This window comes from Homo sapiens, chromosome 6, assembly GCF_000001405.40.
Source record: "Homo sapiens chromosome 6, GRCh38.p14 Primary Assembly".
NCBI lineage: Eukaryota > Metazoa > Chordata > Mammalia > Primates > Hominidae > Homo > Homo sapiens.
The window spans coordinates 36,746,221-36,758,473 of record NC_000006.12 but is presented as its reverse complement, the minus strand read 5'-3'; the positions used below and the strand labels follow the sequence as shown (position 1 = coordinate 36,758,473).

At 51.2% G+C, this 12,253-nt stretch overlaps 1 protein-coding gene across 25 annotated transcripts in view, besides 1 other annotated feature; it reads left to right on the top strand.

The window, feature by feature from the left end:
• Positions 1–12,253, top strand: part of CPNE5 (copine 5) — a 99,224-nt gene that overhangs the window by 81,525 nt on the left and 5,446 nt on the right. For 14 of the 25 annotated variants that reach the window (XR_007059285.1, NM_001376889.1, NM_020939.2 and 11 more), the window contains 4 exons: positions 2,176–2,229; positions 5,379–5,440; positions 10,207–10,253; positions 11,897–12,078. Coding sequence is in view for 24 of the 25 variants with exons in the window: in NM_001376889.1 (NP_001363818.1) it covers positions 2,176–2,229; positions 5,379–5,440; positions 10,207–10,253; positions 11,897–12,078 (345 nt within the window). In the remaining variant the exon portion in view is untranslated. Of the gene's footprint in view, positions 1–1,073; positions 1,190–2,175; positions 2,230–5,378; positions 5,441–5,853; positions 5,895–10,206; positions 10,254–11,896; positions 12,079–12,253 lie in introns of those variants that run through there. The other 11 variants (NM_001376891.1, NM_001314018.2, NM_001376894.1 and 8 more) reach the window with 6 other exon arrangements.
• Positions 1,913–3,112: an enhancer, noted in NCBI's record as "MED14-independent group 3 enhancer chr6:36723139-36724338 (GRCh37/hg19 assembly coordinates)". NCBI's record gives its function as "activates an origin of replication core promoter dependent on BRD2, BRD4, P300/CBP and CDK7 cofactors, and independent of MED14, by STARR-seq in HCT116 cells {active_cell/tissue: HCT116}" and the evidence as "EXISTENCE:reporter gene assay evidence [ECO:0000049][PMID:35650434]".

Below are 12,253 nucleotides of genomic sequence, written 5' to 3'. Positions count from 1 at the left end.
AGTTTGAGACCAGCCAGAGTAACATAGCGAGATCCTATCTCTACCAAAAAAAAAAAAATAGCCAGACATGGTGGCAGCTACCTGGAAGGATTGCTTGAGCCCGGGAGGTTGAGGCCACAGTGAGCTATGACCCCACCACTGCACTCCAGCCTGGGCCATAGAGCAAGACCCCGTCTTAGAAAAAAGCAACAGACACGTATAGATAATACTTACTACATTCCAAACTGTTCTAGGCACTTTGCTTGCATTGGCCCATTTAATCCTCATACCTTTCCGGGAGGCAGGTACTTCTTATTCCCATTTTAGAGATGAGGAGACTGAGGCACATTGAGGTTAAGTAACCTGCCTAAGGTCACACAGCTATTATTAGGTGGCAGAACTAGGCAAATATTTCCTGGATGAGCCTCCTCCTCCCCTCACACTCACCTCCACCAGGCCCCAGTGTCCTAGAGCCTGCTCTGATTTTGTCTCCTACCAGCTTGGGGGTCATCAGAGTTCCCTGCAGGCCGCTGGGTGACATTCAGACATTTTTCACTGGGCATTCTAGGCTCTCCTCCAACCAGCCCAGCTTACTCTTCCACCCTGTGGTTCTGCCATCAAACTGGGCCTGGGTTCTATTCATTTCTCCCACAGAACCTCCTCTGACATCCATCTCTCCGTGCCCAGAGCCTTCCTGTGCCTCTAAGTCTGCCTTCAAGACTTCCTGCTCCAGAGAGGCTTTGCTGACACTCTCACCTAGAGTGGTCTTTCCTTCCTCTAACTCCCCTGACACTTCTGTGATCCCCCTTGTTCCATGGCCCTTGTCACTTTTTGCCCTGAGGACATATCTTCTCTCTCCAACATAGGTGATAGATGATTCCAGGGGAGAAGCAATATATGTCTCCACCCACCCCATAAATGTATGTCAAAGAGATCTGTTTGTATCTGTTATCAAGGTGGCACCAATGTATGCACCACTGGCCCGGGGGCAGGAAACCTGGTTTCTAATCCTGTCACTACCCAGATGGCTGTGTGACTTTAGGCAAATCACCTGGTGTCGCTGTGCTTTAGTTTCCTTCTTGCTGGAAGTAGATAGCAATACTCACCCAGACAGAAGAGACCACGGTAAAGATCAGCTGACGGCCTCTGTGGGAACAAAGACAGGGAAAGGGGAAATGAGTTCACCAGAAACCAACAGGCAGCACAGGAGGTATGAAAATTGCCTGGCTTTGTTTGATGGGACATTAGGGAAAAGTTGTGCCTAGACTTCCCTTATTAAAAACAAAACAAAGAAAAACTGGCGAGGGTCAAATGAGAATACAAATACAGTAAGTGCGGAAGTCTCGTGGGGGGCCTCAGGGCTGGGTGGCTCTCGTCACTTTGCCCAGTCTTGGCCTTGGCACTACTGGGATTTGGGACTGCATCACTCCCTGCCGTGGGAGGCTGTCTTGTGTACTGTAGGATGTTTAGCAGCATGCCTGGCCTCTACTCACCCCCTCAGTTGTGGAAACCAAAACCGTCTCCAGATGTTACCAAACGTTCCTGGGGGTAAAATCGCCCCTGGTTGAGACCGCTGAGTTAGCCACCAACAAGCCTTCTCTGAGCACCTACTCTGAGCCTAGCCCCATGATTTATCTGACACAGGTCTGGTTTGGAAGTTAAAGCTTACACTCAAAGAATAGCTAAAGAGGTTCTTGCTGCCAAGTAAGAGGGATGGTGATGGAGAGGGGAGCCTCAGAGGCCCTGGGCAGCCCTTGGGCTGGGTCCCAAAGGAGGAACAGGGGAGATTGGAATTGGCTGAGAGAGGAAGGGGGTGCATTTTTGGTGAGGGGAGCAGCCTCAACCAACACAAGGGACAGGTACAGATAGGGCCGCTTTGCAACATCAAGACTTCTTTGGCTATACTGGGTGGAGGGTGCGTGTGTTCCGGGGAACAGTGGGAGAGAAGGTTAAATAAATATTCCCGGTTGATCGTGGGACCCTGGGTCTGATGGGAGAACCCAGTTGTGTAACCCAGACTCAATACCAGTCTCCCACAAATCCTCCTTAAACCCTTCTCCCCTGGCCCCGTGGTCTTCACACCCCACACTCTAATGGGGCTGGGCTTGGACCACACCCATGGGTGGTTGGAAGCCCTCAAGACTCACCCTGACTGCCTGGAAGCATGCCTTACCTGGTAACTGGTTTTTCCTGCAGGTGGTAAACCCGAAAAAGAAAATGAAGAAAAAGAAATACGTGAATTCTGGCACAGTGAGTAGCCACCCCGGTCTCTGCAGCCGGGTGTAGACATTCTGAGCCCCAAGCTAGGTCTGGTATCAGGGAGGCCCGTGCGTCTGTGTGTGTGCAGGGGCTGAGCGTGGGAATCAGACATCCAAGAGAGATGGGGTGGGGAGGGGTGGGGCAGATGGAGCAACAGCCAGGGGAGAGAGTTGACTTGCAGACCACACAACAGGCGCTGGCTGTATCTAGCATGAGGAATCGCAGAGACATCCACGGGACTTCCTGCAGGAAGGAAGAGGAAGAGAAGTCGTATTTATTGGGCCCCTACCCTGGGAAATTCCCCACGTTGGTGCTTTTCACAGGTTGTTGCCCTGAGAGGCAGATATTATCATCCCCTAGTCATGAAAGAGGAAACCAAGGCTGCAAGCAGGAAAGTGACTCAGCCAAGGTCACACAGCTAGAAAGTGGTAGAGATGGGACTCAACATGACATCTCACTCCAGAGCTGGCAGCTGCTACGGGCGCTGCCCCTGCTTAACCGTGACCTTCCTGGGATGACACGCCGGCCTAGTGGCTTCTCGGGGCTGGTCTTGAGGACATTCATACGCTTCTTCAGCAAATACTTACTGAGTGCTACTGTGTGCCAGGCACTATTCTAGGCACATCAGATACAGCTGGAAACAAGACAGACCCAAATCCCTGGTGCTTATATTCTAGTGGGAGGAGACAGAGAAAAAAAAAAAACACACACACACACACACACATGCCTGTGTGTGTCAGTTGATTATGAGAGCTATGGAAAAAGTATAAAGGGTAAAGGGACAGGCAATGGAGGAAGTATTGAGGATACTGGGGAAAGGGAATTCCAGCATTCCTGCTGTAGAGAACAGCACATGCAAAGGCCCTGAGGTGGAGCTCACAGTGCATTTCTAGAACAAGCCACTTTCTCTGCAGTGCAAACACACCCAGATTCATCCTCTCTGTGTTCCTTCCTCACTCTAGAGGCCCATGGCTAGTGCAGCCAAGCCTGGTCATTTGAGTCAGGCAGACTGTATCTCCAGACCTAGAAGAGGTTTTCAGGAGCTCTGGGGTTCCTCTGAGAAGCCTCATTTTCTCCGTCTGTAAAGTAGGACTAATAAATCATCCCCACCTTGCCACTGCACAGGGCAGCTGTGACAGACACATGGGAGATGCAGGCTTGTGAACTGTAAAATTACTCTGCTCATTCAAAGGGGACTGAACACCACTTCTTTGATTGTAACTGCTTCACAGACTGGGGCTTGGAGTCATATTTCCTTTGTCCAAGGCTGCGGTGTTTCTTAGTGGAGAGGCTGTCAGCATTTGGGCAGGAAAATTCTTCATCTCACAGGATGTTTAGCACCCCTGGCTGCTGCCCATAGCTACCAGTAGAGCCCCAGTCATTATGAGAACCCCCAAAATTCTCCCACGCCTTCCTAAATTCCCCTAGGGAAGACAGCACCTTCCCCAGCTGGGAATAAAAAGGTTCAAAAACCACTGATCTCATCCAGCCTTCTTACTTTAGAGACGAAGAAACTGTGGCCTAGAGAGGGCATGCGATTTGTCCCAGGTCACACAGTGAGCTGGAGACAGAGCGGGCCTAGGCCCAGGTCTCTTGACTTTCCTTTTACTCCAGCATTTCCCCATCTTCATCGCGAAAAATCACCCGGGATGCAGAAAGCTTGCTGAAATACAGACGCCCAGGCCAGTTCCCTGGGATTCCACTTTAGGAGGCCCAGGAATCTGTGTTTAGTGCTTTTCATCCCTTACTTATGGTGTGCAGAATCCCCTGGGGATCTTGTGAAAATGCCAAGAATCTGCATTTCTGCATTTCTACCTGGCATCGAGGTGATGCTGACGCTCTGGTCTAGGGACACTACCCTTTGAATAGGGGAAAGTCTGCTTTCACCCTGCGAGCCCCTGGGTGAACCCATATGGTCAGGGCAGTTAGGGCATTGCTTCATCCTGGGGGTTGGAATGGGGAGTGGTCAACTGTGTCTGCAGATTAGACTTACGTGAAGAGCTAAAAAAAAAAAAAAAAAAGAAGATCTCTGAAACATTCATGTAGCCCCGGAAACTCGGCTATAATGGGTCTGGGCTGCAGGATGATCTAAGAGCCCCCAGGGCATCTCATGGTCATCAGTCAGGGTTGAAGCCACTGCCGTGGTTCCTAGTAAGTCTGAGCTGCCACACTTGGAAGGAGGCCTGTGGTTCATCCAGGTGCCTAATACCTTAACCACAATAGCTGGGGGTCTTACTGCCAAGTAAGGGTGGTGCTCTCACCTGGCCCTCCCAATGAGCCTGTAAAAACAGCTGAATCTTCATGAATAGGGGGCTCCCAAACTACCAGAGAGGAGTTCGTTCTCTTACACAGGTGAAAGGTCCTCTGCCCTAATCTTGTCTCATATAATTGGCCTAGGATGCCAGGCTTTCATTTGTCTCCTTGATTCTAAATTGTTATGATAATGAGCTGCCAGGTAGCTGCCTGTCTTGGCAAAGCCAAAGCTAACTTTGCCAGGGCATAGGTTAAAAGGCCTCTGCTTGGGGGAGGGGGCCTGGGGTAGTCAGTTACCTCTGGGGAAAAGGATGGGCTACTTATGAGGCAGGATCTTGGGTCTGAGAGGGATGAGATGGGACCAGTAAGATTTAAGATAAGCACAGTCCAAAGAGGCACATTTCAGGACTAATAGCTCTAGGCACATGGAAGCCTGAAGCTGGTCGGCATTGGCAGGTTGTTAGGCCTGTGCCAGGAGGGCCCCCTTGTCCTCCACACCCCACCCTAGGTCCCTGGGGCTGAAGAGCCAGTGCCCACTTAGAGGAAACTAACACCCTTGGCTTGGACCCCGGTTCCACTGACACAGATGGGACCCTTCCGTCAAGGTCAAGAGTGCAGGCTCTGAAGTCAGACACACCCTGGTTTCAGATCCCTTCTCTGCCCTGGCAGTGTCCTTGGGCACATTGCACCACCTCTTTGGGTTTCAGTTTCCTTGGCTATAAAGTGGGGATAATAATAGTACTTCATGGGGTGGTGTGGGCAGTGCATGCAGTCATGCATGCAAAACTGGCACATGCCGAGTGTTCTGTCAATGTCAGCTCTCGAATCATAACCCATCTCCCCTGACCCCAGGCTCCCCACTGACCAAGCTCCCTTTTGTTTTGAAGGTCACCCTGCTTTCCTTTGCTGTGGAGTCAGAGTGCACCTTCCTTGACTACATCAAAGGAGGGTGAGAAGAGATACAGCCAATTTCATGGGCCTTGGGGAGAGGGAAAGGGCCCCACACACCGACAGGACCGGCTCTGGCCCCACCCTGGCCTCTTCAAAGCCCTGGTTGAAGGCTGTGGTGCTGGGCTCTGAGCAAACCCTGGTGTTTGGGCTGAGACAACTCATCCAGAGCCCTGCACATCCCCAGATCCCAAGCAGCTTGGAGGGAACTCCTGAGCCAAGGAGGCTGGCCTGGGTCATGTCAGGTCTCCATGCAGAGACAGGACCTGGAGCTGGTAGGGACTCCGTGACAGAAAGCCAAGGGCTTGGGGATGTAGAAAGAACCCTGCAATAGGAGTCAGGAGGCCCAGGCTCTAGGCCTCTCTTTGCCATTAATTTGCTGGGTTCCTTTGGGTGAGTCATTTTTCCTCTCAGGGTATCAGTTTCCTCCTCTGTACACAAAGAGAACGGAATAGGTAAGTGTTAAGGTTCCTTACAGCTCTGAGCTTCTGACACCTCTGATCTGTCTGGTTGGGGGAGGGGGACAGTGATTAACCTGCTCACTGTTATTAGGGCCCTGTAAGGGCAGCGGGATTGGGGATAAGCCAGGGATTGGTCCTGGGGCCAGCAGGTGGTCAAACATGAGTTTAAGGAGCAGAAAGAACCACCAGGCACAGTGTCTAGGCCCAGACAGATGGGGGAGCCAGGAGGCCCCAGCCAGCAGCTCACGGAAAGAGCCTGGCTCTAAGGGTAGAGCCTGCCCAGCATGCTGCCTGCCAGGACAGGTGCCAGGTCAGGGCGTGGGCAGCCAAGAGCCCGCAGGTGAGTGACTGCACCTGTCTGGAAAGGAGACAGGCAGGAGCAACTGCCAAAGGCTCATCCCAGCCAAGTGGACCCTTGGCTGCCTGGTTCTCCAGGGCAGAGGGAGAAGTCAGGTCCTGGGAAGCCACACTCACTTTCCCATGACAACACTCCCTGCTGCCTTGAGCTTGCAGTCTCAAGGCTGCAAGCTCTCCTCCTACCCACTGAGCACACACCCTGCCTCCAGTCACTCAGGAGCTCCTCTGCTCTTACCTGCCCCTCCTCTGGGCTGACTCCAGACCCCGCCTTTGCACTCTTCCCCCATCAAAATTGCTTCCCTCTCAATCCCATTAATCAGCCACCCCTTACAGTCCATAGCACCTGGTAACTCTCAAACACCCCTCATCCTGTTTATTTTTATTTATGTTTATTTTATTTTATTTTATTTTATTTATTTTTTGAGACAGAGTCTCGCTCTGTCACTCAGGCTGGAGTGCAGTGGCACAATCTCGGCTTACTGCAACCTCCGCCTCCTGGGTTCAAGCAATTCTCCTGCCTCAGCCTATCAAGTAGAGTAGCTGGGGCTACAGGCATGCGCCACCACCCCCAGCTAATTTTTGTATTTTTAGTAGAGACGGGCTTTCACCATTTTGGCCAGGCTGGTCTCGAACTCCTGACCTCAGGTGATTCGCCTGCCTCGGCCTCCCAAAGTGCTGGGATTACAGGCATGAGCCACCACACCCAGTCCATCCTATTTATTTTTTTCATTTGCATAGTACCCCCAACTTACAGAACACAGTGGGCAGGATCAGAACAGTTATCCCCATTTTACAGAGCTTGCCTGAAGCCACACGCCTAGATGGTGGCAGGGTTCCTTCTCCCATAACATGCTGCCTTTCATTCTATAGTAATGAATCAGTCTAGCCTGCCTGACTTGCAGTTAGCGGGTGGGGTGGGATGAAGATGGAGACTGATGAGTTAAAGGGCTGGATGCTGTGAGGTTTCATCGAAAAGGAGCCCTCAGAGGCTGAGCTAAGCTGGTGCCACCCATACTGGGCAGGTTATAGCCCCAGAGCCAGCCCTCTCTTTAAACTCTCTGGAGAGCCTGAGTGAGGGAGCTGGCTCCAGGGACTGAGAGCCTGGCATGCATGCCCAGGCAGGAAGCTGATGTCTAGGGATCCTCTCCTCCCTGGCCTCCCTCACCTGCCCACCTGGACCCAGGAGGAAGGGTATGGGTACTTTGGCCCCACTGTCAGAGGAGGAGCTGGTTGCTCAGCAGCCTGTGTTCTACCCTTAGGCAGGAGACACTAGGCTGCTGCGAGTAATTTTCCCACAAGAGGATCTGCTTTCCAATTGCTTCCTTTCCCAAGGCTTTTCAGAACCCAGGGCAGGGGAGGACTAGTTAGAGCAAGGCCTGCCTTTCCCCTCACCCTGTATTTGGAAGAGCCAGTCCAACAGTGTCCCTCCAGTATAGTCCCACAGGCCAGAATCATCTTCCCAAGAGTGGCCCTGGGAGCGGGACTTTCACCCTCCAAATGTCTCCCTACCTCTAACAAAGACATGCGTTCTACATTCCACACTGAAGCGGGGGTGACAACAAACAGCAGATGAGTATGGTAGGTCAACTGCTGTAACACATAATTCCCTAACCTCAAGCCTTCATACCAATAAAGGTCTGTTTTTCATCTGTGGGATGGCAGGGTTGGGTGGGGAGATGATCCACGCAGTCATTCAGGGACCCAGGTTCTTGCTAGCTTTGCGGCTCCTTCTATCCTACTGCCTGGAATCCTCTGGATGCTCTGCCCCCAGCCAGCAGAAGAGGAGAAAGAGGTGGGGATGACTGTCTGTGGCCAGCAGACCCTGGCTGGGGTCTCCTGCTAACCATGTCCTTGACATTTCCCTGGGGGTGAGTGAGGGTTCCATGAGCAGCAGCTCAGCTGTGATCAGGTGGTTTCTGATAGGGACCTTCTGCTGTGTCTGTGACAGGGATCTTGGGCTGATAGAGCTGTGGTTTCTGATAGGCACCTTCTGCTAAATGCAAGTGAGGTGAGGCCTACCTGATCTTACATCATCCATAGCCCCAACTAAGAATTACTAGAACAGAGTTTTCCCCAGCGTTATCCCAGCCTCGTGTCCTCATAATCCCTGGATGAAGGCAGTGGACATTTTTTCAAGAGGTAGATTCTGGGAGCCACTCCAGACAAACTCAATTGGCATTTCTGGGGTGGAGCCCTGGAATCTTCTTAAGCAAGCACCCGTAGTGATTCTATGCTCACTGCCGTGTGAGAACCATAAGACTAGACTTTATCAGGGACTTGTGTTTGTCAGCTTTGTTCTGTCTGGACCCGGCAGAGAACCTAGAATGGCCAAGCCCTCAGAAAGTCTCAAGCCTGAATCTGAATCCTCAAAACCTAACTTTTTATTATAGAAAACGTCAAACACATGCAAATGTGGAGAAAAGGTATAATCAACATGCAAGTACCCTTCACCCAGCTTCAGCCATTACCACATCATAGCCAGTCTTGTTTCATGCACTCCACCCTTCATTCAGTCATTTATTATTATTTTTTATTTTAGTGGGTTTTTTTTTTTTATTTTTGAGGTCTCACTATGTTGCTCAGGCTGGCCTTGAACTCCTAGTGTCAATCAATCCTCCCACCTCAGGCTCCCAATATCCAATTTGAAGCAAATCCCAGCCATCATATTTTATCCCCAAATGCTTTAGGATGTCTTTCTAAAACATAAGGACTCTCTCTTTATCAAACATAACCACAATACCATAACCACACCTAAAAAATTAACAATTCCTTAATACTAAATATCTAGTAAATGTTTACATCTCCCCAATTATCTTATAGTTTTAAAATTGGTTTGTTTGAGTCAGAAATCCAGGCAAGAGCCATAGGCTGTGATTGGTGGGTTGGTCTCTTAATTCTCTTTTCATCTATTCATTCCCCCCAAGCACCTGAATGGCTTGCTAACACAGATTCCTGTACCCCACCAAGAGAATCTAATATTCAGCCAGATGTGGTGGCTCACACCTGTAATCCCAGCACTTTGGGAGGCTGAGGCAGGAGGATTACTTTTGCCCAGGAGTTCAAGACCAGGTTGGCCAATATAATGAGACCCCATCTCTGCAAAAAGAAAAAAAAAAGCCAGGTGTGGTGGTGCGTGCCTGTGGTCCCAGCTATTTAGGAGGCTGAGGTGGGAAAACTGCTTGAGCCCAGGAGGTTGAGGCTGAAGTGAGCTGTGATCACGCCACTGCATTTCAGCCTGGGTGACAGAGCGAGACCTCTTTTCCAAAAAAAGATTCAGGAGAGCTAGATAGAGTCTGAGAGGCCCAGCATATTCCCAGGAGATGGTGCTGCTGCTGTCTCTGGTAGTGCTTCTACAGAGTTTCCCAAAGACTGGATTTTGCTGGCTGCATCTCCTGTGGTGTCATTTAATGTGTTCCTCTGTCCCTTGTATTTCCTGTAACTAACTAGACAGCTCTGGAGCCTCAATCAGAATCAGGTTCAATTTTTTGGTAAGACAACTTCATGGGTGGTATTCTATTCTTTCTTTAGGAGATGCATAATGTCTATTTGACTCTCTTTTTTGTCAAATGAGTTTTCGTCCTGAATCTCACTCCAAATTTGAGTCAGCAATCCAATGAGACCCAACCTCACCCAGCCTACACAGGTGGGCCCAGGGGGTAGGGTTTGTGGAGGAAATAAGTGACCATAGCCACATGCCCACACAGAACACAATCATCTTCAAAGAGCTTTCCTACTGCATAACTCTTCTGATGCTCATTAATCCTGTAAGGGGGGCATAGCTGGCATTACTATCTCAGCTCTCCAGAACTAGAAAGAGATGAATGACTTCACCAAGGCCACACACCTGGCAAGCAGCAGAGCCAGGGTGGTAGCCAATGTCTAGCACTGTCCCCCCTCCCACAGCCCTGCCTCCCTCCAGGTGACTCCCCTGCTGTTCTCCCTCTTCTAGGACCCAGATCAACTTCACTGTGGCCATTGATTTCACTGCCTCCAATGGTGAGTTGGGGGATGGGTAGAGGAGCAGGGTGGGAGGAGAGAGCTTTTAAGGGCTGTGGCATCTGGCCCTGGCTGGGACCATGACCCTCATACTCTCTGGCCTCTTCCTCACCAAAGAGGATGTACCTAGGTCTGGAGGACCAAAGATACAACCAAGATGGCAGTAGTATCCCCAGGTTGGACCATTGACATAAATCTGGGCTCTGAGCCACAGCCTTGTCCTTGAGGAACACCCAGTCTCCCTGGGGGAATGGGATTGTGTGTACTCTGGGCCTATGGAGGGCCCTGGAGATGTTTCCCCCCGGGATCAAATCCCAGCTCCTCTGTGCAGTCCAACCCACAGGCTGGAGTGGAGAATCAGAGCCAAGGCTGAGCTCTGTGGTGTTCAGGGAGGCAGGATCCAGCCCAGGGACCCCAGTCCTTACCTGGCTGGGGCTGCCCTGGCTTCCTTACCTCCTCCCAATTTCTCCAGTGTCAGCCTGTGGCTGAGTCACTAGGAGCAATAACAGTGCCCAACTTTACATGATTAGAAACATCACAACCTCCCTTGGGCTCTGGGCTCTATTAGGGGTGCTCAGTGCTAATTTTTGCACCAATCAAAAATGCCCAGGTCTTGCCCTCTACAGGTGTCAGGAGCTCCTCTTATAGCTGTAAGTCCTAGCATCATAGAGCACTGGGCTATCAGAGCTGGAAGGGGCCTTAGTAATAATAACACTGAGGATAGTTATCATAATATCGATAGCATCTGTGTAATATTCACATCAATCCTATGAAGTAGGAACTATTATTGCTCTGATTTTACAGGTGAAGAGACTAAGGCTAAGGTTAAGGAACTTACCCAAGATCACATAACTAGCAGGAGGTAGACAGGATTGGTACCTTGGCAATCTGTGCTGTACTACCTCCCATCAATGAACAAATAAGTTAAATACAGACTATATTGGCAGCGAAGAGGGCTCTGGGGGGGGAAATCAAGCCAGGAAGAAGGATAGGAAGGATTGGGGGAGGCTGTAATTTTTAATAGGCTGCTTGGAAAAGATCACACTGAGGAGGTGACACTTGAGCAGAGACCTGAAGAGGCCAGGGAGCGGGCCAGGGAGTGGACATCTGGGGAAGAGTGTCCCAGGTAGAGGGAACAGCCATCACCAAGGTCCTGAGGTGGGAATGGCGAGGGGCTGGTGAGGCTGGGACTGGCGAGTGACAGGGAGGAGGGTAGGAGATGACCTGGAGGCCAGATCATGAGTGCTTGCGGGCTCTTGTGAGGACTTTGGGTTTCATTTTGGGGGAGGTGGAGGCATTGAGCGTTTTGGGCAGAGGAGAGGCATGATCTCTCTGAGGCGGATAGGCTCAGTCACTGCTGTGCTGGATATGGGCTGGAGGCACAGGGGCAGAAGGAAGTGGGAGATCAGTTAGGAGACTGCTGCATCCTATAAGCAAGAGGGTGGTGGTATGGGGAGGAGGAGAGGCGGAGGAGGGATTCTAGATCTGTTTTGCTGAAGGATTTAACATGGGGTATGAGAGAAAGAGAGGAGTCAAGAATTAATAAAAGTTAGGGGTGCCCTTGGACACCCCCTTCTTCATTCTGAACCCGGGGTGACTTGGAGGGTCCAGATGGTCAAAGGCTCCCATGTCCTGTGTTACAGGGAACCCCTCACAGTCCACATCCCTGCACTACATGAGCCCCTACCAGCTGAACGCCTACGCGCTGGCGCTGACTGCCGTCGGAGAGATCATCCAGCACTACGACAGTGACAAGATGTTCCCTGCCCTGGGCTTCGGGGCCAAGCTGCCCCCGGATGGCAGAGTGTCCCACGAGTTCCCACTGGTAGGTGGTCCCGCTGGTGGGAGAGAGGACTGATCAGGCTGGGGGTGAGGTGACAAGCTGGGGGTGGGGGGACGTTTCCCTTCCTCTGAGCCCGGGGACTTAAGGCTCAGCCTCAGTGGAGGTAGACTGCCTGCTGTGTGTAGGGGGGCTCCAGAAATCCACTCCCTTCCCTGAT